At 37.8% G+C, this 23,246-nt stretch overlaps 1 protein-coding gene across 3 annotated transcripts in view, besides 2 other annotated features; it reads right to left on the bottom strand.

The window, feature by feature from the left end:
- RSBN1 (round spermatid basic protein 1) overlaps window positions 1–23,246 on the bottom strand; it is a 50,645-nt gene that overhangs the window by 11,905 nt on the left and 15,494 nt on the right. Inside the window, exons 3-5 of one of the 3 annotated variants that reach the window (NR_130896.2) lie at window positions 22,450–22,567; window positions 3,935–4,072; window positions 3,474–3,616 (exon numbers count right to left, since the gene is read on the bottom strand). Coding sequence is in view for 2 of the 3 variants with exons in the window: in NM_018364.5 (NP_060834.2) it covers window positions 3,474–3,616; window positions 3,935–4,072 (281 nt within the window). In the remaining variant the exon portion in view is untranslated. The other 2 variants (NM_018364.5, XM_017001518.3) reach the window with 2 other exon arrangements.
- Window positions 6,975–7,024: an enhancer, noted in NCBI's record as "active region_1533". NCBI's record gives its function as "activates an Ori minimal core promoter by ATAC-STARR-seq in GM12878 lymphoblastoid cells {active_cell/tissue: GM12878}" and the evidence as "EXISTENCE:reporter gene assay evidence [ECO:0000049][PMID:35858748]".
- Window positions 7,135–7,244: a silencer, noted in NCBI's record as "silent region_1216". NCBI's record gives its function as "represses an Ori minimal core promoter by ATAC-STARR-seq in GM12878 lymphoblastoid cells {active_cell/tissue: GM12878}" and the evidence as "EXISTENCE:reporter gene assay evidence [ECO:0000049][PMID:35858748]".

The raw sequence follows: 23,246 nt of genomic DNA on the forward strand, positions 1-23,246 counted from the left end.
GCTCACGCCTGTAATCCCAGCACTTGGGGAGGCTGAGGCAGAAGGATCACAAGGTCAAGAGATCGAGACCATCCTAGCCAACATGGTGAAACCCCGTCTCTACTAAAAATACAAAAGTTAGCTGGGCATGGTGGTGCATGCCTGTAGTCCCAGCTACTCGGGAGGCTGAGGCAGGAGAATCATTTGAATCCGGGAGGCGGAGGTTGCAGTGAGCCGAGATCGCGCCACTGCACCCCAGCCTGGCAACACAGTGAGACTCCATCTCAAAAAATATTAAAAAAAAAGAAAACAAACACGCATATGCACAAACATACATATCTACCAAACTTCCATCCATATACAATCAGTGGTATGCTCTATATACTTTACATCTGACTTGAGGGTCAGGGGAGGTGGCTGATTTTAGCTGATTTGCTGATTTCTATGGTATAAATACACCTAACACGAATGATTTCCAGTTACTAACGTGACATCACGCAATGTGGAACTGGAAAGTGATGCTAATGATGGCCTTTGTGAACAGGTACAAACTGGCTCCAGCACACCAGTATCATGTTTTCAAAATACTGTTTACATTGAAAACCTGGGAAAAAATTACACTAATAAAGAGTTGGTGAGGGCCAACTCTTTTTTAATTAAAATTAAAAAAAACAACAGGCCAGGCACGGTGGCTCACGCCTGTAATCCCAGCACTTTGGGAGGCCGAGGCGGGTGGATCACGAGGTCAGGAGATCGAGACCATCCTGGCTAACACGTTGAAACCCCATCTCTACTAAAAATAAAAAAAAAAATTAGCCGGGCATCATAGCGGGAGGCTGTAGTCCCAGCTACTTGGGAGGCTGAAGCAGGAGAATGGTGTGAACCCGGGAGGAGGGGCTTGCAGTGAGCCGAGATCGCACCACCGCACTCCAGCCTGGGTGACAGAGCAAGACTCTGTCTCAAAAACAACAACAACAACAACAAAAAACAACTAGCCAGGCATGGTGGCAGGCACCTGTAGTCCCAGATACTTGGTGGGGCTGAGGTGGGAGGATCACTTGAGCCTGGGAGATGGGCTACAGTGAGCCCTGATCATGCCACTGCACTCCAGCCTAGGTGACAGAGTAAGACCCTGTCTCAAAGAAAAAACAAAAACAAAAACCAAGAATTGGTTAAATAAATCTTGATACAACCATACAGTAAAAATTCCCAAGTTTTAAAGTAAACATCACACAAAGAATGGATTTTGTAAAAAGATTATTTATGGCTATATATAATTTGAAAGGTTAATATGCCTAAATGGTGGCTACCTTTTTTTTTTTTTTGGAGATGAAGTCTTGCTCTTGTCCCCCAGGCTTGAGTGGAGTGGCACAATCTCGGCTCACTGCAACCTTCGCCTCCCAGGTTCAAGCAATTCTCCTGCCTCAGCCTCCCGAGTAGCTGGGATAACAGGCGGCTGCCACCATGCCCAGCTAATTTTTGTATTTTTAGTAGAGATGGGGTTTCACCATGTTGACCAGGATGGTCTCGAACTCCTGACCTCAGGTGATCCGCCTGCCTTGGCCTCCCAAAGTGCTGGGATTACAGGTGTGAGCCACCATGCCCAGCCTGCCTTCTTTCTACTCTTCTTTTTTTTTTTCTTTTTGAGATGAGTCTTACTCTGTCGTCCAGGCTGGAGTGCAGAAGCACCATCTCAGCTCACTGCGACCTCGGCCTCCTGAGTTCAAGCGATTCTCATGCCTCAACCACCTCAGTAACTAGGATTACAGGAGCGTGCCACCACACTAATTTTTGTATTTTTACTAGAGACAGGGTTTTGTCATGTTGCCCAGGCTGGTCTTGAACTCCTGGACTCAAGCAATCTGCCTGCCTCAGCCTCCCAAAGTTCTGGGATTACAGGTGTGAGCCACTGCACCTGCCCTCTTTTTACTCTTTCCTATTACTTTTTTCTTAAGTTTATAAAAATCAGGAAACAAATGATGGTCATTTTTTGAGGAAAGATTACAGAACAAAAAATGTATATAGTATTTAACAATTTAATAAGATTTCAAGATTCGTCATCATCCTGCAACAAAAACTGCTATAATCTAGCAATGTGCAGAACTTTCAAATGACTCCTGGGTTTTTACCATGCCACCACCCTGCATCGTACATAATGTTTTCAAAGTATTTTCATACATTTCAAGTACCTAAGATTATTCCATACTTAGCTCAAGTATCATTCTCCTATGAGCCTTAAGTTAAGGTTTAGATTAGTCCATTAAAACTCACTTCTGGGCACTTATTTTGAATTGCTATTTTCGTAGTCTAAGCAGGTATAGATCATTTTCAGTCTCATTAAATTAGATTTTTCAAAGTACTAGAGAGTGAGTTAATCTACATTTGTCTTCAAAGTCTGAAACACAAAACATGTTAGCACAATATGAATTACTGAGGCTCGGTCCTATAGAACATTATTGGTTTCATGTAGCAAATACTGGTTACCTAGTATATGTCATGAGGACAAAGATGAATAAAATAGTCCCTGTCTTCCCAAAGCACACCTCAAATGTTAGTAGAAAATAAAAACATGTAAACAAAACTTTAATGAACAGAACATTGTAGGGAACAATTAATTACCTAAGGAAGGAAAGAAAAACTTCACAAAGGAGGTGACGTCCAAGTTAAGTTTTGTTTGGTTTTGGTTTGGGTTTGAGTCAGGATCTTGTCGTGGAGTCCTGGGCTCAACTGATCCTCCTACTTCAGCCTACCAGGTAGCTAGGACTAAAGGCATATGCCACTGTGCCCAGCTCAAGCTAAGTTTTGAAAATGTATTAAGTTTGCTGTGGGACGGTAACCCCAGCACTTTGGGAGGCTGAGGCAGGAGGATCATTTGAGGCCAGGAGTTCAAAGCCAACCTGGGCAATATGGTGAGACCCCATCTCTACAAAAATAAAATACACAAAACAATTTTTTTAATCAGATGGGCATGGTGGTACACACCTATAGCCACAGTTACTTGGGAGGCTCTCCTGAGACCAGAAGTTCAAGAATACAGTGAGCTATGATTGTACCACTGCACTCTAGCTCTGGGCAACAGAGTGAGACCCTATCTCAAAAAAAAAAAAAAAAAAAAAATAGTGCAAAAGCAAAGAGTTATGATAGACTATGGTTTGGAAAGTGAATTCGGTATGGCCGGAGAAGACTAAACACAGATACATCTAGAAGAGGTACAGTTGACCTGATTATTAATGTAAACCACACTAAGGGGTTTGATCTTTTATCCTGCAGGCAGTTAGGGCACAGGTTTTTAAAAAATAAGTAAAAATTAAATTTGTGTTTTAGAAAAATGCCTCACTGTGATAACTGTGATGATTGGACTGAAAAGAGGAACCGACAACTAAAACATTTACTTAAGGGAGCCCAAGACAAATGGTTTTCAAACTGTGCTCATTTTTATAAGCAACCAACTAAAAAAAAGTAGTTTTGCTTATTTGAGAAAAAGAAATATTTACCGTCGTCTTTTGAAGGGTGACTTTGGCATATCTGCTGTAGGGATCATCTGTTCTCCTGGCCTTACCCACATTATAGGCCCATCATCACTCTGGGACCTACACTGGAGTCGGAGGCTAGAAAGTGTACCCCAGGGCAAAGTCATCTAGAAATCAGACGGATTAGTCACATTAAAAAATTGTTTCAATGATTTATAAGTTAATCCTCCCACCCAAATAAAAGTTCTAAGAAGGCTTTTTTACAACTGTATATAAAGAAATAAATGCTATTTACATAGTAATTTATATTAAAAAGAATAATTGAATTTAAGTACTTTGTACTAATATTATTCTATCTAAACATTTCTGTGCAAAACACTGGATAAATTTAATTTCAATAGGCAATATTAGCTAAATACTCTTCAACATATAAAGTGCCCACTTAAGTAAAGATCAAAACTTTAATAATCTTAATTAACACTCACTTTCAGAAATGGTGATTCTTCTAACATATCAAGGAACTCTGGGAAATAATCACCAACTTCTTCATCTACTGCTCCAACGAGACTTATCTGCCGCATAGGACCTGCTCGGTAGGTGCCACAGCAGTATGTCCTGTTGACCTAAGATAAAACAAAAGAGGGAAAAATGGACTGAGGTACAACTATAATATAATTAAAGAATTAAAATAGGTTATTGTTTCCAACGTTGCCATTTCTTCTACAAACTAAGAACTGAATGGTCAATACCTTGAATAAAGTCAGAGAGGCACCCAAGCACACTGACAAATACACTAATACATATGCCACAAGCAAATTTCAATGTGTGATTTAACCTGAAGATCTCAAAGAAACATTGAAGACATTAATATCTATTTAATACTTAAACTTCTCTAAAAATGATTTTTTTAACTTTGTAATATTTTAGAGTGTGATCTTTATTTAAGAAAAAAACATATAAAAGTAAAATCATCAGGGCAGGGAGAAAAAAAGACCATAGTCATATTAATCTTCCATGTTCATTTTGTACTCCCTAGCTTCAAAGTCTTCACTTTAGCCCAGATACCAGGATACGAGGCTCACTGTTACCAAGACAGGCCAATCTTTTTTTTTTTTTTTTCCTTTTTTTTGAGATGGAGTTTCACTCTTTGTCCCACAGGCTGGAGTGCAATGGCATGATCTCAGCTCACTGCAACCTCCACCTCCCAATTCAAGCAATTCTCCTCCCTCAGCCTCCCAAGTAGCTGGAATTACAGGTGTGCGCCACCATGCCTGGCTAATTTTTGTATTTTTTTAGTAGAGATGGGGTTTCAACACGTTGGCCAGGCTGGTCTTGAACTCCTGACCTCAAGTGATCCACCCGCCTTGGCCTCCCAAAGTTTTAGGAGTACAGGTGTGAGCCACCAAGCCTGGCCCCAATCTTTTTCTCTACTCAACTTATGACAAACTTATTTCTACCTCCAGTGATTTTTCTCTTGAATCTGCCCAATCTGGAATGTCCTCTTTTCTGTCAACCCAAATCGTATCCATCTTTCAAAGAGCAGTTCAAAAGCTCTTTTTTTCCAGAAGTCTTTCTGGTCACACTCCATGATCTCTCCCTTCTCTGAAGTCTAATGTTACCTATGAGCAACATATATTTTCTCTATATCAACTCTCCAGTGAATTTAGGACATATCCTACATAAATATGCAGCCCAGAGCATCCTATCTAGCATCTGAATGGAATCTATCATTAATTCCATACAATCTGATACTATTCCTCTAGTCATTTCATGTATGTTCTTATCTTATGTAATCTCCAATTTAGAGTTTCTCAAGGATAGAGAGATGGATCCTGTACATAGCAATGGACTAGACTAGAAATGCTGTATTTAACCAGAATTTCCACTTCAGATCAGTTACCTAGCATTTTCTACCTCTGTTAAAATGCAGATTAAATTTAAAAGCCTAACATATAGCTGTACCTTTATATAAAATGGCTCTTTAATGAACATTAAAAAAAATTTAAAGAATCTACTGTCATGTTTTAAATACCACCTATTTTGCCTTAATAGGAAACAGTCTACATAAATGACCATCTAGGATATCTTACCACAATTCTTCACCATTTGTTCTTTAGCAGCATTTTTAGAATCAATTTTTTTCCATAGACAATTTAACATCACCCACACATATATACACAGAAAAAAAGGCTGTAGATCTTGTTCTCAAATAGCAGGGGTAGGGATTTTTTAATTCCTTACAAATCCTCCCCCCAAGATCACTTTAGATGATTCTTAAGCAGCAGCCACCCAGGCCAGAATTACTTTATATATATTCATATGAATTACTTTCCATAAGTTTGGTATGATCATCATGCCATAAAAAGCCAGGGGTGGCAGCATGGAACAAAGGCTCATCATGGGATATAGAGATAAGGAAGGGGAAGAAAGGTAAGTCTTTTTAAATCATTATTCTAACCTTTCTAAGCACTCTAAAACAACTAAAGTAGATTTAACCTTCAGCAACATTTCTAGGAATCATATGCTTTTAGGGGTAATAAGAAATTATCAGTCTCGGCCAGGCACGGTGGTGCATGCCTGTAATCCCAGCACTTTGGGAGGCCAAAGCAGGTGTATCATGATGTCAGGAGCTCAAGACCAGCCTGGCCGAGATGGTGAAATCCCGTCTCTACTAAAAATACAAAAATTAGCCAGGCACGGTGGTGCATGCCTGTAGTCCCAGATACTCGGGAGGCTGAGGCAGAGAACTGCTTGAACATGGGAGGCGGAGTTTGCAGTGAGCCAAGATCGTGCCACTGCACTCCAGCCTGGGCGACAGGGCAAGACTCCGTCTCAAAAAAAAAAAAAGAAATATCAGTCTCCCCCAAACACCTCTCCCAACTATTCCCAGTCTCAGAAATTCCTTTACTAAGAAAGGCTTTCTCTCTATACAGGCATTTTATGGGACAAATGTCCTAAAGACCTATCATGATCTTTTTAAAATCTTTTTCCCAGCCAGAAGTGACTCTTAAGACCTATCCTAATTTAAAGCAGCCAAAACTCAAGACCAATCCTAAAGAAGTACACTGCCATGTGGCAGTTTTCAATTTACTTGGCCTGAGATTATACAACTCAATGCATTATTAATTTGAAGGAATTCATACTACTTTAAATTTTACACACAAAGTGAGACTGAATTAATATTCTTATATCACACCACTCCAAGTTTACCTAATTCAAACACCACTAAACTCAACAGCACTGAACTTGAAGACAACTTAGAAAGGTAAACACCTAGAATAATCAACATGTGACATGAATAAATATGAAGCATCTTTTCCTATTTGCAAAGAGAATAAAAAGTAAACCTAAAAAAGAGGAAGGCGGGAGCAACAGAAGACAAAGAAAGGGTATGACCACAAAATATAGCGACCTCATAATTTCGCCAAGACCAACATGTTTATTTTCATATATACACAAAGAAAAGCTTCTCATCTTACGAGGATCTTCAGGTTCACACCTTTGTGTGAGTACCAATGTTGTATCCATGAGTGACAAAGAATTAACAATGTTCAATTTTTATTTCCTGGCAGAAGAGCCATCAAGTAAACAACTATGCTACAAAATACTAGGACTGGATTTTGAAAGCTGCAATGTATAAAGCCTATTTGGATAACTGTAGCTAACTTAGCCTAGCTAGAGAAAGCCCTTATTAGTAAACCACAACCTTCCTGTTTTCATTCCTTTACTTACATGAAATTAGACCTCTAGCTTTCTGTGACCTACGTTTTTTTCTCAGTATCAGTCCCCTCCTTCTTTCAGCTGCTTCCATATCTAGTCTAAACCTCAAGGTTTATCCCTCTCTCATAAACACACTCTCATCCTCTATCCCAGTCCTTCCACCAGCCCTGCCTGCAAACCCCAGGCCTGAAACATTCAAACTATCCATCCCACCTCTGGACTTTTCCATTCCATAGGCCAATAAATCTCTTTCATCATTTAAGCCCATTTTAAAATTGACTATCCTGCAACTTGCCATCAAAAGCACCAAGATATATATACCTTTTTCACATAAGAATCCTACTTCTGTAATACTAGTCTGTAGTACCTGTCTCTATTGCCTCACCTCACCTTTTATTCACATCTCATATCATTGCAATCAGGCTTCTGCCCATACCACTCCCCTGAAACAAATCACTGATGACCTCTTCACAACCAAATTCAAGGAATGCTTTGCAATCACCTGCTTTCTTGATTTCCCTTTCCAGGCTTCCTCCTCTCCAAAACGTGGTTGTTGCAGAGTTGGCCCAGTTTTCATTCCACATATTATCTGTGGGTGGTTTCAATTATACTACAGATTTAACTACCACCTGTACCCTACTACATTCCATATCTACATCTCTAACTTAAAACTCTGCCTCAGATTCAGATCTTAACATACAAATGCCTCCTGGGCAGCCCACAGACACCCTCAAATTTAATACCTACAAAACAGAGCTCGTTTTTTTGTAAGGTTCCCTTCCCCTCCCAAACCTTCTTTTTCTCCTTCTGTATGTACTTCGCCGGTTAATAATATTCATTTTCTCAGGTCCTAAATCAGGAATTGATAAATCCCTCTTCCTCATCACTTAAATCAAAATCTATCCTTCTAACTAAATCTGCAGTACCACTGCCTTAATTCAGGAAATTATCATTTCTCACCTAATTGTAAAACCTCTTAACCAGTATCCTTGCTTCAGGATTCCTATCCCCAAGAGCCATCCTACATACTGCTACAAATAATCTAGGAAAAAACATCTTATCATTCAACCTTCCCATTTTAAATCCTTTAGTAGCTCCATATTACCTGTAGCATCAAACTAGAAAATCCTTTTTAAGGAAGACAAAGCCCCTCCTGATCTATTATTCCAAGGGAATAACAGACCAAGATTTGCCACATTCTCCACATTTGCCACATTCTAAATATACATTTCGCAAATTCTAAATAATTTCTGCTGCCTCCACAAGTTTTCACATGTTATTGTCCACCTTTACAACTCCTATATTTCCTTGATGGTATAAAATGACTCAAAATAAGGTTTCAAGCTCAAAGAACGAAAGTACATAACATTTACAGATTTTAGGTAAGTTAGATTTGGAGTTATAACTAGATCAAAAAAGGTAAGGAATAGATGCATAGATTTGGAAATTGTCTATAACATATAATTTTTTAAGTGACTAAGACTTGAGAGAAAGAATAGAAAGAGACAGAACCAAGAACTGCACTTAAAGGAAAACAGATATTTGACAGACAGGAGGAAGAGTTAGCTAAAGAAATTGTGAAAGGATGAGTTAAGAAGTAATGCAATTAAAATGATGTAAGAATAACGTTTCAAAAATGGTCAAGGACAACTATTTTTTAAGAAAAACAAACTGGCTGTTATGAATAGTGCTGCAATAAACATGGAAATGCAGATCTTCAACATACTGATTAAATTTCCTTGAGTTGGACATATACCAAGAAGTGGAATTGCTTGGTCATGTGGTCGTTCTATTTTTAATTTTTTAAGGAACATCCACACTGTTGACCATAATGTCTGTACTAATTTAGATTGACATTAACTGTATAAAAGTTCTCCTTTTTCCATATCCTCACCAGCATTTATTTTTTGTCTTTTTGTTAACAGCCAGAACTGGGGTGAGGTGATATCTAATTGTAGTTCTGACTTCCATTTCCCTGATGATGAATTATGTTGAACATTTTTTCATATACCTGTTGTATGTCTTCAAATTTCAGAATGTCTATTTAGGTCTTTTGCCCACTTTTAAATCAGATTATTTCGTTGTTGTTGTTATTGGGTTGTTTGAATTATTTACATAAATTTTAGGCCACAGGGCAGAAAATACTATCTGGTCCTTAATAGAAAAAGTTTGCCAACCCCCAATTTAAACCACTCACAAAAGAAATCAAGCAATATGTTTGAATACAAACTTTGTGAAAGAGAACAATCTGTATTATTCAATATTATATATCTGTAATACAAAGTGCCTGGTATGTAGTCATAAATATTTGTTGAATTTCTGTATGTTAAGGCTAGAAATGAAGTAATCAACCACAAACTCTGGCAAAAAGAAAAAAAAGGGGTGGAGGGGGAGAAGAAGAACTGCTGATTACCAGTCTATCACTTGCATTTAAAAATTTAATAAATGCAAATGTTTGTGATACATTTAAATAATTAACAGCATAACAATGAACAGCAGTTATGACCACAAATTCAACATGCACCAACTTTCAACCTGAAAAGGCTGACAAGAAAAAAAAAAAGAGAGAAAAAAATAGATAAAACAAAAAAACATTCACCAACTGTAGGAAACTAATGCCAAACAAGCAAAGTATTCCTTCTTTTTAGTAAGAAAATTTCCTGGGCATATGGCCAATAAGCTAGGCTCCCTGACAGCTAAATGCGGCCTGTGCCTAAGTTTGGGCCAATGAGACAGTCACATAAGTTACATATGCAATCTTCAGGGCATACCTTTATAAGGAAGTGGCTTGCCCTCCACTTCCTTTTTCTCTTTTGAGGGCTGCAACACAGAGTGGTAAAGAGCTAGTCTCAATCATGCACATGACAACACCAGTAGGAACGACAAAAATTAAAGACAGAAGGAAACTAGCATCCTGGATGACAACAAGGAACAGAGTTGCTTACCTCGGGACTGCTAAACAAGAGACAAACTTTTGTTCTAGCCACTGCACATTGGTCCTCATTGTTATGGTTTTTTAGCCTATACCTTGTATACTTTGTAATGAGGGAGGCAATATTCTGCATTGCACAGAGATATCATCTGGGGTGTGATCTCCCGATCTGGCCTAAAAAATATCTATAACTAGGGCACACCCAAAATAGAACATTTAAAGTGATTAGGGACTTGCAAACCATACAAAATGGAGGAAGAATGCAAGAAATCAAAAGTATTTCAAAAGTATTTAACTTGAAAAGATTAAAGGAGGGACACAACAGTCTTCAAATACTTGGAGGCCTGTAACATGAGTTACAGGAAAGCAGGTGTCATTCATTTACCACAAGTTTATTGTACAGTCATGTGTCACCTAATGACAGAAATACATTCTGAGAAATGTCATTAGGCAATTTGTGGTTGAGAACATCACAGCTTGTACTTACACAAATCTAAGTGGTATAGCCTACTACACACCTAGGCTATATGACATAGCCTATTGCTCCTAGGCTACAAAACTTACAGCATGTTATTGTACTGAATACTGTAGTCCAGTGGTCCCCAATCTTTTTGGCATGAGGGACTGGTTTTGTGGAAGACAATTTTTCCACGGAAAAGGGCAGGGGGTTGGCAGGCATGGTTCTGGATGAAACTGACCCACCTCAGATCATCAGGCATTAGTCATATTCTCATAAGAAGTGTGCAACCTAGATCCCTCGCATGCACAATTCACAACAGAGTTCACACTCCTATGAGAATCGAATGCTGCAGGTTATCTGACAGGAGGCGGAGCTCAAGCAGCAATGCTATTATAGCTTGCTGCAGCCAGGTTTTTAACAGGCCACAGACCAGTACTGGGGGACCAGTACAGTTGAGGACCCCTGCCGTAGATACCTGAAACACAATGGTAAGTTTTTATGTATCTAAACACATTTAACTTCCCATGCTTGCAGAATAGGGAGTTGTTATGGGTCAGTGAGTGAGTGGTGAGTGAATGTGAAGGCCTAGGACACTGCTGTACACTACTGTAGACTTTATAAACAGTGTACACTTAGGTTACACTGATTTTTAAAATTTTTCTTTCTTCAATAATAAATTAACTTTAGCTTACTGTAATTTTTATAAACTTTATGAGTTTTTTAATTCTTTGACTCTTGTAATAACACATAGTTTAAAACACATTGTACAGCTATACAAAAATACTTTCTTTACGTCCTTATTCTGTAAGGTATTTTCTACTTAAAAACTTTTTTTTTTACTTTTTTTAAACCTTTTTTGTTAAAAACAAAGATACAAATGCACACATTGGCCTATGCCTACAACAGGGTTGGAATGATTAATATCACTGTCTTTCATCTCCACATCTTGTCCTGCTGAAAAGTCTTCAGGGGCAATAACACTCACGGAGCTATCATCTGCTATGATAACAAAGCCTTCTTCTGTAATATCTCCTGAAAGATCTGTCTGAGGGTGTTTTACAGTTAACTTTTTTTTAATAAGTAGAAGTATGTTCTAAAATAATGATAAAAGGTATAGTAAATATAGTAAGTGATAGGAATTTTTCAGCTCCATTATAATCTTATGGAGTCAGCGTTACATATGCAGTCTGTCATTGACTGAAACGTCACTACATAGCACATAAACATATATTTTATGCCACTGTACTCAACACAGGTATAGCAAACCAGACCTATTCCTGGCCACTTGAAGCTTACAGTCTAGTAAGGAGAGGCAGACACTAATCTAAATAAACATTTAATTATAAACTTTGATCTTCAGAATGTAAGATGTATGACACTATGAAAAAGAACATGGGATCCTGATCCGGGGAATAAAGTATTCCTTGAAGTAACATTGAGCTCAAATCTGAAGAACAAGTTCAGAGGGAAACAAAATCTCTTAAGCATTGCCCTTTCCAAGATCTAAAAGAAAGCTAATGATAATAAACACAGAAAGCAAAAGAGAAAAATAAAGATGAGACTGGAAAAATCAGCTGTAGCTGGATTATGGAGAGCCTAGAAGATCACATCAAGGATTCTGGAAAGCCACTAAAGGATCTGAAAAGAAGGAAAGTTACCCAATTTGCCTTTGGTTTTTTGTTTGTTTAGTTTTCTCAGAGGGGCACAAAAAGTAAAGAGATCAGCTAGGAGTATTCTATAATATGCCAAATAAGAAATGTTAGGCTAAGCTAATAACTTGATTTTAAATAGGGACTTCTTTTTAAAAGAAAAACAAAGAGATCTGAAAATTATACAGGAGATAAAATTGTCAAGATGTGGACAAAGATTGGATATGATAGATAAGAGAAAGAAGTATGAAAGATGACTACCAGGTTCTGTACTTTGGAACCTGAAAGAGCAACTACTCTCTCTTCTGGAGGAGGATCAGGTTTCACTGTTTTGGACATGATGAGCCAGAAGTATGTGATAGGTTGAAAAACGGCTTCCAAAGAACCTAACCCCTAGAACCTAATCCCCAGAATCTGTGAATGTTACCTTATGGCAAAATGGACTCTGCAGATGTGAATAAATTAAGGATCCTGAGATGGGGAGAGTCTCCTGGATTATCCAGGTGGGCTTAAATGTAATAACACGTGTCTTTTAAAGACTGAGGCAAAGAGATATTTGAGAAGGCGATGTGATGATAGAAGCATAGCCTGGGGTAATATACTTTGAAGATGGAGGAAGGGGCCACAAGCTAGGAAATGTAAGACACAAGAAGCTAAAAAAGGCAAAAACTTGATTTTTTTCCCTCAGAGCCTTCAGAACTGTAAGAAACTAAATTTGCGTTGTTTTAAGCCATTGTTTGGGGGCCAGGTACTGTGGCACACACCTGTAATCCCAGCACTTTGGGAGGCCAAGGCAGGCGGATCACTTGAGTCCAGGAGTTCAAGACCAGCCTGGGCAACATGGTGAAACCCTATCTCTACTAAAAAAATACAAAAAATTAGCCGGGCGTGGTGGTGAGTGCCTGTAGTCTATTTCTAAATTTTCTATCTTGCTGAACAGAGCTCATAAACTAATTACACTGATTTAATAATTAAATCTTTAGAATATATTGGTACCAGGTAAGGCACTCCTCCATCGTTACTTTTTCTTTTCTGGCTGTTCTTGCCTACTTATTTTTGCATATAAACTTCAATATCTGCTTGGTTGTCTCAAAAAACAACTATTTCTATTTTATTGGGATGGTGTTCAATTTATAACTTAGGAGAAATTGTCATTCTGATATTGATTCTTCTTCCCCAGGAACACAGTAATATATGTTTCCATTTAAGTCCTCTTTTGTGTGATCATGTTTCAACACTAATAGGAAGAATCTGATAAAGATGAAAAGGTGAAGAGGACTGCTGTTTAAACATGGTAGACTGGATGTATGATTTTTTTCTATTCCTTGTCAAAATCCCACTCAAGTGAGAATAAAATATCAAGGCTAAAATCCCAGATAGTCAAAGAGAACAGAAGTAAAAACTACAGATACAAGCTATCAAAATGTTTTTGGAAGGTGAAAAATGTACAGGGAAATTTGCAAACTGAGAACTCTGGCTAACTTTTATAGAAGGCAAGAACAAAGCATGCAACTAAAAACAAAAAAGGTGGGTTTAAAATCTGCTTGAGTCAGTGAGACCCTTCCACTTACATTCTACCTTCCTATCCCATGCTCCTTTTTCCTCACCTTATTTGTGGTAAAAGTGAACTAAATGACTACAGACACAAGGATACAAGGCACAAGCAAGGGAGAGAACCATTACACTGGAAGCAGGGAATTAAGCAAAATCCCAGTTATTTAACAATGCAATCGCCTACCTCCTTCCAAGAATTCTAGCAGACAGGTGTGTAACCTACTCCATCCCCTGACAAAAATGTGGTAGATTTTTAGCTGTAGAAACTAAAGGCCCAAGAAACAATATCTTTAAACACTAATATTTAGAGCTTTTCTCACAATATGACCACATTCCCTATCCAGTCTTCAAATGACAAATCCCACCCACGTGTTCACTGAGTTTCTAATGTTTTATAACGACTCATGTTTCAATATGAACAGATCACCATGTTTGATGAAAACATAACCAGAAGACTAAAATAAAAATAAAAAAGAACTTGAACAACTTAAGAGTATAAAAGAAAACTTAAAAACAAGTATAATTAGTATCAGAGAGATGAAAAAAGGTATTGTATCCATGAAACAATAGGAAGTTATTAAAAAAGGGACAGAGAACAAGAACAAGCTCTCAAACTGAAAACATTACAGCTGACATTAATCAACATTAAGAAGCTAGTTAAATCTACCCCCAGAAAGCAGGAAAAAAGACAATGAAAAATATAATAGGAAAGATAAGAAAATTGAGGTTGAATCGGGAGGCCTAATATACAATTAATAAAAGTTTCAGAAAAAAACGATAACTGAGAAAGAAAATTAACAAGTAATACAAGAAAAAACTCCATAAAGGATGGATTTCCACATAAAAAAGGGTGGTGGGGGGTAGGGTTCAACTGCACTGATGATGTTTTATTTCTTGGGCCAGAGTGATTGTTATTATTCTTTATATCTGCGTCTGAAATATTTCATAGTAATTTTTTTTAAAGAAAAATGATCCATCTCAAGGCACATTATCCTTGGTACTCAGACATTCTGTAGTAGAAATTCTGAAAGCTTCCAGAGAGAAAAAAGCAGAACAGCTAAAAAAAATCAGGAATCATTATGGCATTGGATTTCTCAACAGCAACACTGTAAGTTTAAAGGCACTGAAGCAATGCCTTTATAAAGCTAAGAAAAATGACCCATCAATCAAATGTTACAGTTAAAGAAAAATTCTTCAGATGTGAGAATTGAGCTACTGAATTCAGGCAAGAGTCATGGAATGCCAGACAGGAGAAAGGACAAATAGAAACCCCAGGATACATGCGTGGATAAAAAGACCTATCAAAATAGGAAGATCCCTTGGCCAGGAGTTTGACATCAACCTGGAAAACACAGGAAGACCCTCTACCTTGCCCCCACCCCGACCCAAAAAAAGACATTTACACAAATGCTTACTGTAACACCATAATATTATAAAACTGTAAACAACCTCAATGTCCAAGAATAGGAGAATAAATAGTGAGTGTGATATTGTGCAATATGTATCTGGTCTTCATCCCTATTTCCTGAGGTAGGGCTCCTAAACTCCTTGTTATCTCCAAATAGCTCTATTTTTGTATGCTAATATTGACTAACAGCTTTAGGGCGGGGCTGGTCACCTGAAAAATAAAGGTACAATTAGAGGGTTGGACGGTCAGCCCTACCCCCAACCTCCAGGGAGGGGTGCTAAAGGTCAAGCTGACCACCAACGGCCACTGGCTTAATCAATCAAGCCTACATAATGAAGGCTTCATAAAAACTGAAGAGGTTCTGAGAGCATCTGGATAGCTGAACATGTGGAAGCAGACAGGAAGATCAACAGGAACTCATACATTTGCTGGGAGGGTGGCATACCCCAACTCTACGGGGAAAGAAGCTCCTGTGCTCGGGACCCTTCCAGACCATGCCCTGTGTATCTCTTCATATGGCTGTTTATTTGCACCCTTTAACATATCCATCACACTAAACCCATAAACATAAGTATTTCCCTGAGTTCTCTGAGCTACTCTAGCAAATCCACTGAACTCAAAGAGGGGATCGTGGGAACCCCAACTTGAAGCCAGTTGGTCAGAAGTTCCAGAGGCCTGGACTTGTGACTGGTGGGAAGGAGAGGCCAGTCCTGGGGACTGAGCCCTCTATCTGGGATCCAAAACTGACTCTGGGTAGTGTCGGAATTGAATTGGATGACACCCAGCTGGTGTCTGCTGAAGAACTGATTGCTTGCTTGTTGTGGGGGAGAAATCTCCCACATTTGGGCAAAGAAGTCTTCTGTGTTGATTGCTGTTGTTTGAGAGCAGAGGAAAAGTAAAGTGTTCAAAAACAGTGATACAGCTGCCCAACAAAATACCAAATATAATGGTTAAAATTAATGTAGAGTTAGATGTATCAAAATAATCTTCAAAAACAATGTTGAACAAAAATAACCTGCAGAATGATACACACAATACACTGTAGTTTTAAAATACAAAGGTACAAGTATTGTTTTTATGTTCATTTGGTATTAGTAAAATGTTAAAAGATAAAACGACATGATAAGCCACAAATTCAGAATAAAGATTTACTTCTAGGGAGAAAGGAAAAGTTTATTTAGAGAAAAAAAAAGCGGGGGAAAGACACGAAGCAGAAATTCGCTTAATATATTTTATACTTTTAGTTACGTGGGGAGTGGGAATGGAGAAGGGAAAGGTTGGAGGGGTAGTAGCGGGTAACTGACATCAAAGATCCTAACCTAATGGGTATAGAGTTTCTGTTTGGTATGAGGAAAAAGTTCTGGAAACGGTAGTGGTAATAGAACAATATATATACCCAATGCCACAGAATTATACACTTTAAAATGGTTAAAATGGTAAATTTTGTGTATATTTGACAACAGTTTTTTAAAAACCTTAGCAGGCTAAGGGATGGTATTCATAACACAAGTAGACAAATTAGCCTGACAAATTAGCCTTTGAGGAGGAGATAGAATATCTTCTCTACTGTAACAGGAGAGAATGAGGAAAAGATGTATACAGATAAAGTTTAAATAGTATTTATGAAGAACAGGTAAACAAGCTAAACAAAGAAAAGAAGTAGGCTTCCCAGGCAATGTTGACAACCCAATGGGAAGCATTATAAAATGTCATGAAGAGACAAAGTCCCCAGTGATGGCCAATCAAAACATGATTTTTTAAAATTTGCACTTTGTAGAGGTCAGATAAGATTATCTCTTAGTTTATGATGCTCTGAAATTCTAAAAAGATGCTATCTACAGGTCAAATGAAAGGAACTAGAGTAATGGTAGATGGTATATGGTTTAAAACAGTGTTTCTTAAACTTGCCTGATCATAGGAATCAAGTCGGTCAAGGTACTTATTTCATGCCTCACTCCAGACCTCATGAACCAAAATTTCCAGAAGAGGAACCTGAGAGTCTAATGTATATTTGAACTAGCAACCCCAAATTATTCTTAGGATCTGGCAAGTTTGGGAAACTCTGGCCTGGAAATAGCAACTGAAAACAAAGAACAAGTTGAATTCTACAGCTTTCCGGAGTTTATGTACTGGAGCACAGTGGAGGAACAAACAGAATTGGGAGGACTGGAGGGAGGTAAGTACGAGACCAAAGAACAGAAAAAACTAAAGCTGCCATGGAAGCAGGAGACATAACGCCAACAGGAAAAACACAGTCTTTGGTAAAATCAGAAGGCAAAGTGGGGAGGGGAGAAGGATGTGGCATCAAAGAGAAATATGCCTATTAAAAAAAATAATAGTTTTGCATAAAATTTATTCTCTTTATAATATCTATAAAATGTTAAACAATTATCTTTGAATATATATACTGCTGTCAATACATATGTAGTGTTTAAATTAGAAACTCAACTTCACAGTTATCCTGTATGAATTTCTGAATTAAGTAAGCTCAACTGTGTCCCCAATACATAGAGCTTCTACAAAGGACAATTATAAATCTGTTAATAACTCAGGAGAACACCAAGCTAAAAAAGCACTATGTGGAAAACCCTGTGTATGGGGGTTGAGAGCGGGTGTGGATTATTCCACAGAACTCACGTTTCAGGAAGAAGCCTATTCAAGCTGACTTTTTAAAACACAGAAAGGAAAAAATTAGCCAGCGATCTTCCTAACCTTGTGCCTTGTGAATAGAAAGGCATTCCTACTTTAAAATATATAGTGAAAAAACAGTGTGACTGGGTCAAAGTGAGTACTTAAAATAAGAGGAAAAAAAAAAGAATCAAGCCTACCATTTTTATTTATGCCATTTTATTTTATAAAACCTGCTACTTAAAATGTTTATTTCTCCTTTTCTATAACACACTAATAATGCATACAGTTCCTTAAGGGTTTCTGAGCTATTTCCCAAGCTATATACTACTCTACTAGTTCTATTCTTATTAGTATTACCAATTCATTATAAAATGTTAATCAATCAAAGATCAGAGTGCATATAACAAGCCCATATAAGGCCTTGTCCCAACACACAACGAGGGAATAACATTTTTTGTTTTTCTCTGGAACCGTAGACACTAAAATTATACACGCCAATGCTACAGAACATTATCATTTTATAGAGTAATAAAAGTAATATAAGAAATAAAACTACCTAAAGTTAAAAAGCTTTGATTCTCAGTGAAACCTCAAAATTATATATGAAAATTTTTGAAAAAGATACTTAAAACATGCAGATTTGCCAATCTTCCCTACCCCCAGCAAACACATAACACACACTCCTCTCCATGTACATCCTTCAATTACTTAGTTGCCAGAAGATCTCAGAGGTGATATTGAAAACAATTCCCTTTTAACTTCACTGTATTTTTAGTGTTTGTTATTATTTGCGCTTGCAATTTATGTACAGATTTTGAGACCTATATGGCCTTGGTGGTCCATTTACTAGCAACATCAGCATCACCAGAAAATGCAGACTATAAGCAAAGCTAGTGCTCACACCTGTAATCCGAACATGCTAGGAGGCCAAAGCAGGAGAATCCGTTGAGACCAGGTGCTCAAGACTAGCCTAGACGACATAGTGAGACTCTGGCTCTATAAAAAAATTTTTAAATTAGCCAATTGTAATAGTACACACCCGTAGTCCTAGCTACTCTAGAGGCTGAGGCACTGGAAATAGCACCTGAAAGCGAAGAACAAGTTGAGTTCCACCACTTCCTGAAGTTTATGTACTGGGGTACAGTGGAGTAAGAAACAGTAGAAAGACTACTAGAGCCTAGGAGTTCAAGGCCTCAGTGAGCCATGATCACACTTCATGATCACACTTCAGCCTGGGCCACAGAGCGAGACCTCATCAAAGAAAGGAGAAAGAAAGGAAGGGAAGGGAGGGGAAGGGGAAGGGAGGAAGGAAGGAAACTCAACTTTATAAAGTTATCCTGTATCAACTGCTAAGAGTTAAGTAATCAAACAAGGATCAGCTTACTGTTTCAATGGACATATAAATTTTTCTGCTCTGGTATTAGAACATTTGAGTTTTCTAGAATGTTAAAAGAAAACCCTATATGTGGATCCTAGCTTTAGCCACCACAATAATTTAAAAATATAAAAATAACAGAAGTTTTCATTTTTCTTGCACAAAATCTACATTTTACTTTCTCCTGCTTAGAGGAGCTGAGTTCTAAAGCTTCTCAAAGTTTAATGTGCATATGAATCACCTTTTAAAAATGCAGATTCTGATTCAGAAAATCTGGGTAAGAGCCCAGTCTACACTCCTAGCAAGCTCCCTGGTGGTGCCAAATTCATACATAGAGCAAACTTTTAGTAGCAAGGTTCTAAAGAAAAGGCATAATTTACAATAGTATTTACCTGTCCACGGTTTGCAAAGCACTAATCTTGATCATGTCTCCAATTCAATTCCTAATTGATAAACCTACCACTTTCCCATCCTTACTTACTGGATCCTTCATATGGATAAAATAAACACTTCATTCTTAAAATGCAGAAAACTTCTAGTCTTTCTTCTGCCTGCCTTTCTTTTTGGTCTTTTCCCATGTTCATCATACTTACTTGTGGATGCATCACAAGATTCCACCCTTAGTTTCATCTCTTTTCCACTGCTATTGCTGGTTCCATCTTCTGCATCTCCGCATCTCCTGCATTAATGGGTTCAACTTCTGCATCTCCAACCTAGACACATCTCTCAAACTTGGATCCATACATTCAATTCCTAAGAGTTCTTTTTTTTTTTTTCTTTTTTTCTTTATTGAGACTTGCTCTGTCGCCCAGGCTGGAGTGAGTGACGTGATCTTGGCTCAGTGCAAACTCCACCTCCCAGGTTCAAGCCAGCATCCCAAGCAGCTGGGATTACAGGCGCCCGCCACCATGTCAGCTAATTTTTGAATTTTTAGTAGACATGGGGTTTCACCACTTTGACCAGGCTGGTCTCAAAATTCCTGATCTCAAGCAATCTGTTCACCTCAGCCTCCAAACTGCTGGGATTACAGATGTGAGACACCATGCCCAGCCTCCTAACAGTTATTTCTAACCGTAAATTCCCACAGGTACCTTCAACTCAAAATATCTCAAACTGAGCTCATCAACACCCTCTAGCCACAGAAACCGGCTTTTTCAACCATGTATTGGCTTTGACCAGCATCGCCATCCACCCATTTGTCCAAACCACATCTGAAGACTATCTCTCTCTCTCACCAAGACTAGTTAAATCTCAACCTTCTAATTATTTCTCAAATTTCTTTCTTTTCTCTCTAATGTCAGTACCAGTTTGGACGTGGAGCATTTATGACATGGTTACTATCGTAACTAACTGGTATTCTTGCTTCCAATCTCATATCCTGCACCACCAATTCCATCCTCCACACTATTATGTAATCTTTGCAAACATAAATGGATAGCAAGCATTTCCCTATTAAAATTCACCAATGACTCCCAATTATCTTTAGGAAAAAGTACTAACTTTTTAAAAGCATGTCATCTAAGGCTCTTCACAATCCTAATCATGTCTCTCTCTCTCTGGTCTCAACTCCTTCCATCCCTTAACAGTCAGTGCATACTCTTGCCATGTCAATCTATTTGTAGCTCCCTCTAAGTGCCGCATTCTCAAATGCCTCTGTGTATTTGCATAGGCTGTTATTCGCTTAAAATGTTCTTACCAAGTTAAGTATTAACATGCTTTCAAGATTGTACTCAAGCATCACATGGCTTAACATGCCTTTTCGAATTACCTCAAGTCTGCATTAGGTAACACAGACAGTGCTCCCTCTATTACAGGGTTTTCCCTATGCGTACCTCTACTCAAGTAGTACTCTGTATTATAATTGCTGGTTTACTCATCTCCCCCACTAGACTGAGCTCATCAATTAGTCCTTTTAAGAACACAGTGCCCAGTACATGGTAGGTTCTCAGTAAGTGCTTGCTGAATAAACTATCTTGAAATATAGTCACGAATAATTATTATGGCTACATATTTAAACTATAAATAACTTCCAATAACTATGTCTCTAAAGCAATAAAAAATTTATTTGACTTTATTTCTAGGTTTAACAGAACTTCATAAAATGTCAAAAGACTTCAGGTAAGTCCACACTGCCCTAGGTATTTGTTTAATTCCCAACGATCTAAAGGGATTTGTTAAAAATATTAGAAACAAAGCCTTTTGCATGCTGTTTCACACGGAGATACTTTAATTTCACTGACCAGAGTGTTAGACAAATAAAAGCACTAATCTCTTCTCCATGGTAAAATGATGTGAACATTGTTCAGGTGGCCTGGGTTTGCATCTGGACTCTTCTACTTACTAGCTATATGACCTTGGATAACAAACAATGAACATCTCCCAGCCTCAGTTTCTTCCATGGGAAACACAGATAAAATTGCTTACCTACCTACCCACTAGGTTGTTTCAAATATTCAGATATGAATGTGAAAGCATTTCTATAAACCATGAAGTGCGAAATCAATTTGAACTACTGTGTTAACTTCTATCCCAACATCTGCTAAAGTTGCAAACTTCAAAGTTTAGTCGGCTAATCCAACCTCCCATATCCACACCATACTCTTCTCTAATGACTGAAAATTCATAAATAAAATTAAGTTCCAGGACCACCAGAGCACAGGACTCATTCAACAGTCCTCAATATTCTTATGTGGTTGAAGCGTTTAATATCTAATTTAATCATAATCTGAAATGTTCTTAAAAAGTGGTTATTTTTTAAATCTCAAAGTAAGTATCAAGGTAAGTTGTTGGTACAGTCATTTAAATTTCAGCTCCATTTTAAAAAATTAATTGGAGGACAAAAATCAGCAGGGAATATTTCAAGATATTTTCTTTTATTAACTATTTAGACTGGATACTGTCTGTTGACATACAAATTTGATCCACTTTAACTAATATGAATGTTAAAAAGACACCCTTACAAAACTGGGACAGTTTTCCCCCAAATTTCTGGCTTATTTCTCAGAAATGCTTGTTGGTCTATCAAAAGAGAAAATTTGCTGCATTTTTCTAAACTAAAAAAATGATAGAGCATGTTGATTCTGCTCTCAGCAATATCTTTCCTTGTTAAATAGGGAACTTATGGGGATTATGGACTATATTAGGAGAAATGTTTTCAGTCTCATCTGCAATATTTATAAAAATAGGATTCCTTGACCTTCAAAGGGCAAAACTTAAAAAAAAAATGAAAATGAAAAAAGAAAATCTACTACAAAAGTCAGCACTTCGGTACCTGGTTGTGGTAATAAGGCCAAAATCCAAGACGAAGCCCTTTATTGCACATGGTGTTCCAACATCTTGGGCAGCCCCATCTTGCGACCTCTCCACATTGGCTGCTCCTGCTCTCTCTACTGCAGAGAGAACTTCAATTAGAGAAATTCTGAAGCTCATAAATCTAAACTGGATACTCCCCTCATTGGAGGCAAAGATGGTAAGACTCACTAAAAAGATTCAAGTTAGAGGAGGTTTCAAATAAATCTAAGTGGCTTGAAACCACTATAATTCAGGCAGCTGAGAGTCTTATTACGGCAACAATCTATTTACCTAAAAAAATATATATATATTAAGGGAAAAGAATGGCAGCAAATTACTAGACAACCTGAAAAAACAGAACATATAATCATAAAAGTTTAAAAAGTGAAAGTCTCCACTAAAGTTGAATTTATAATATATACTGCAGAAACTTATAGCTGACCATTTATATTCAATTCTTACGAGAAAAGCAAGTAAGAAAAAAACTAGGACACATTATTAACTTCTTATTCCCTAAAATAACTTCACTGAAAAAAATGTTTGGTTAAAACCACTGGTTAAGAAGCAGACGTTTCCCTGCTGACTTAAGCCTAGCTGCCCATGCAAGGCTTCAAAAAATGTCTTCACCTACAACAATGTATAGGCAGAAGGAGCAGAGGCTATGGCGGTCTTCCTAATGACACTTCCAAGTCACATAAATGGGGTATATTTCTGGGATGGACTGCCAACAAGTTACTGAAAGAGATATAAAAACTCCAAAAACCTGGCATATAAACA

Source organism: Homo sapiens, chromosome 1 (assembly GCF_000001405.40).
Source record: "Homo sapiens chromosome 1, GRCh38.p14 Primary Assembly".
NCBI lineage: Eukaryota > Metazoa > Chordata > Mammalia > Primates > Hominidae > Homo > Homo sapiens.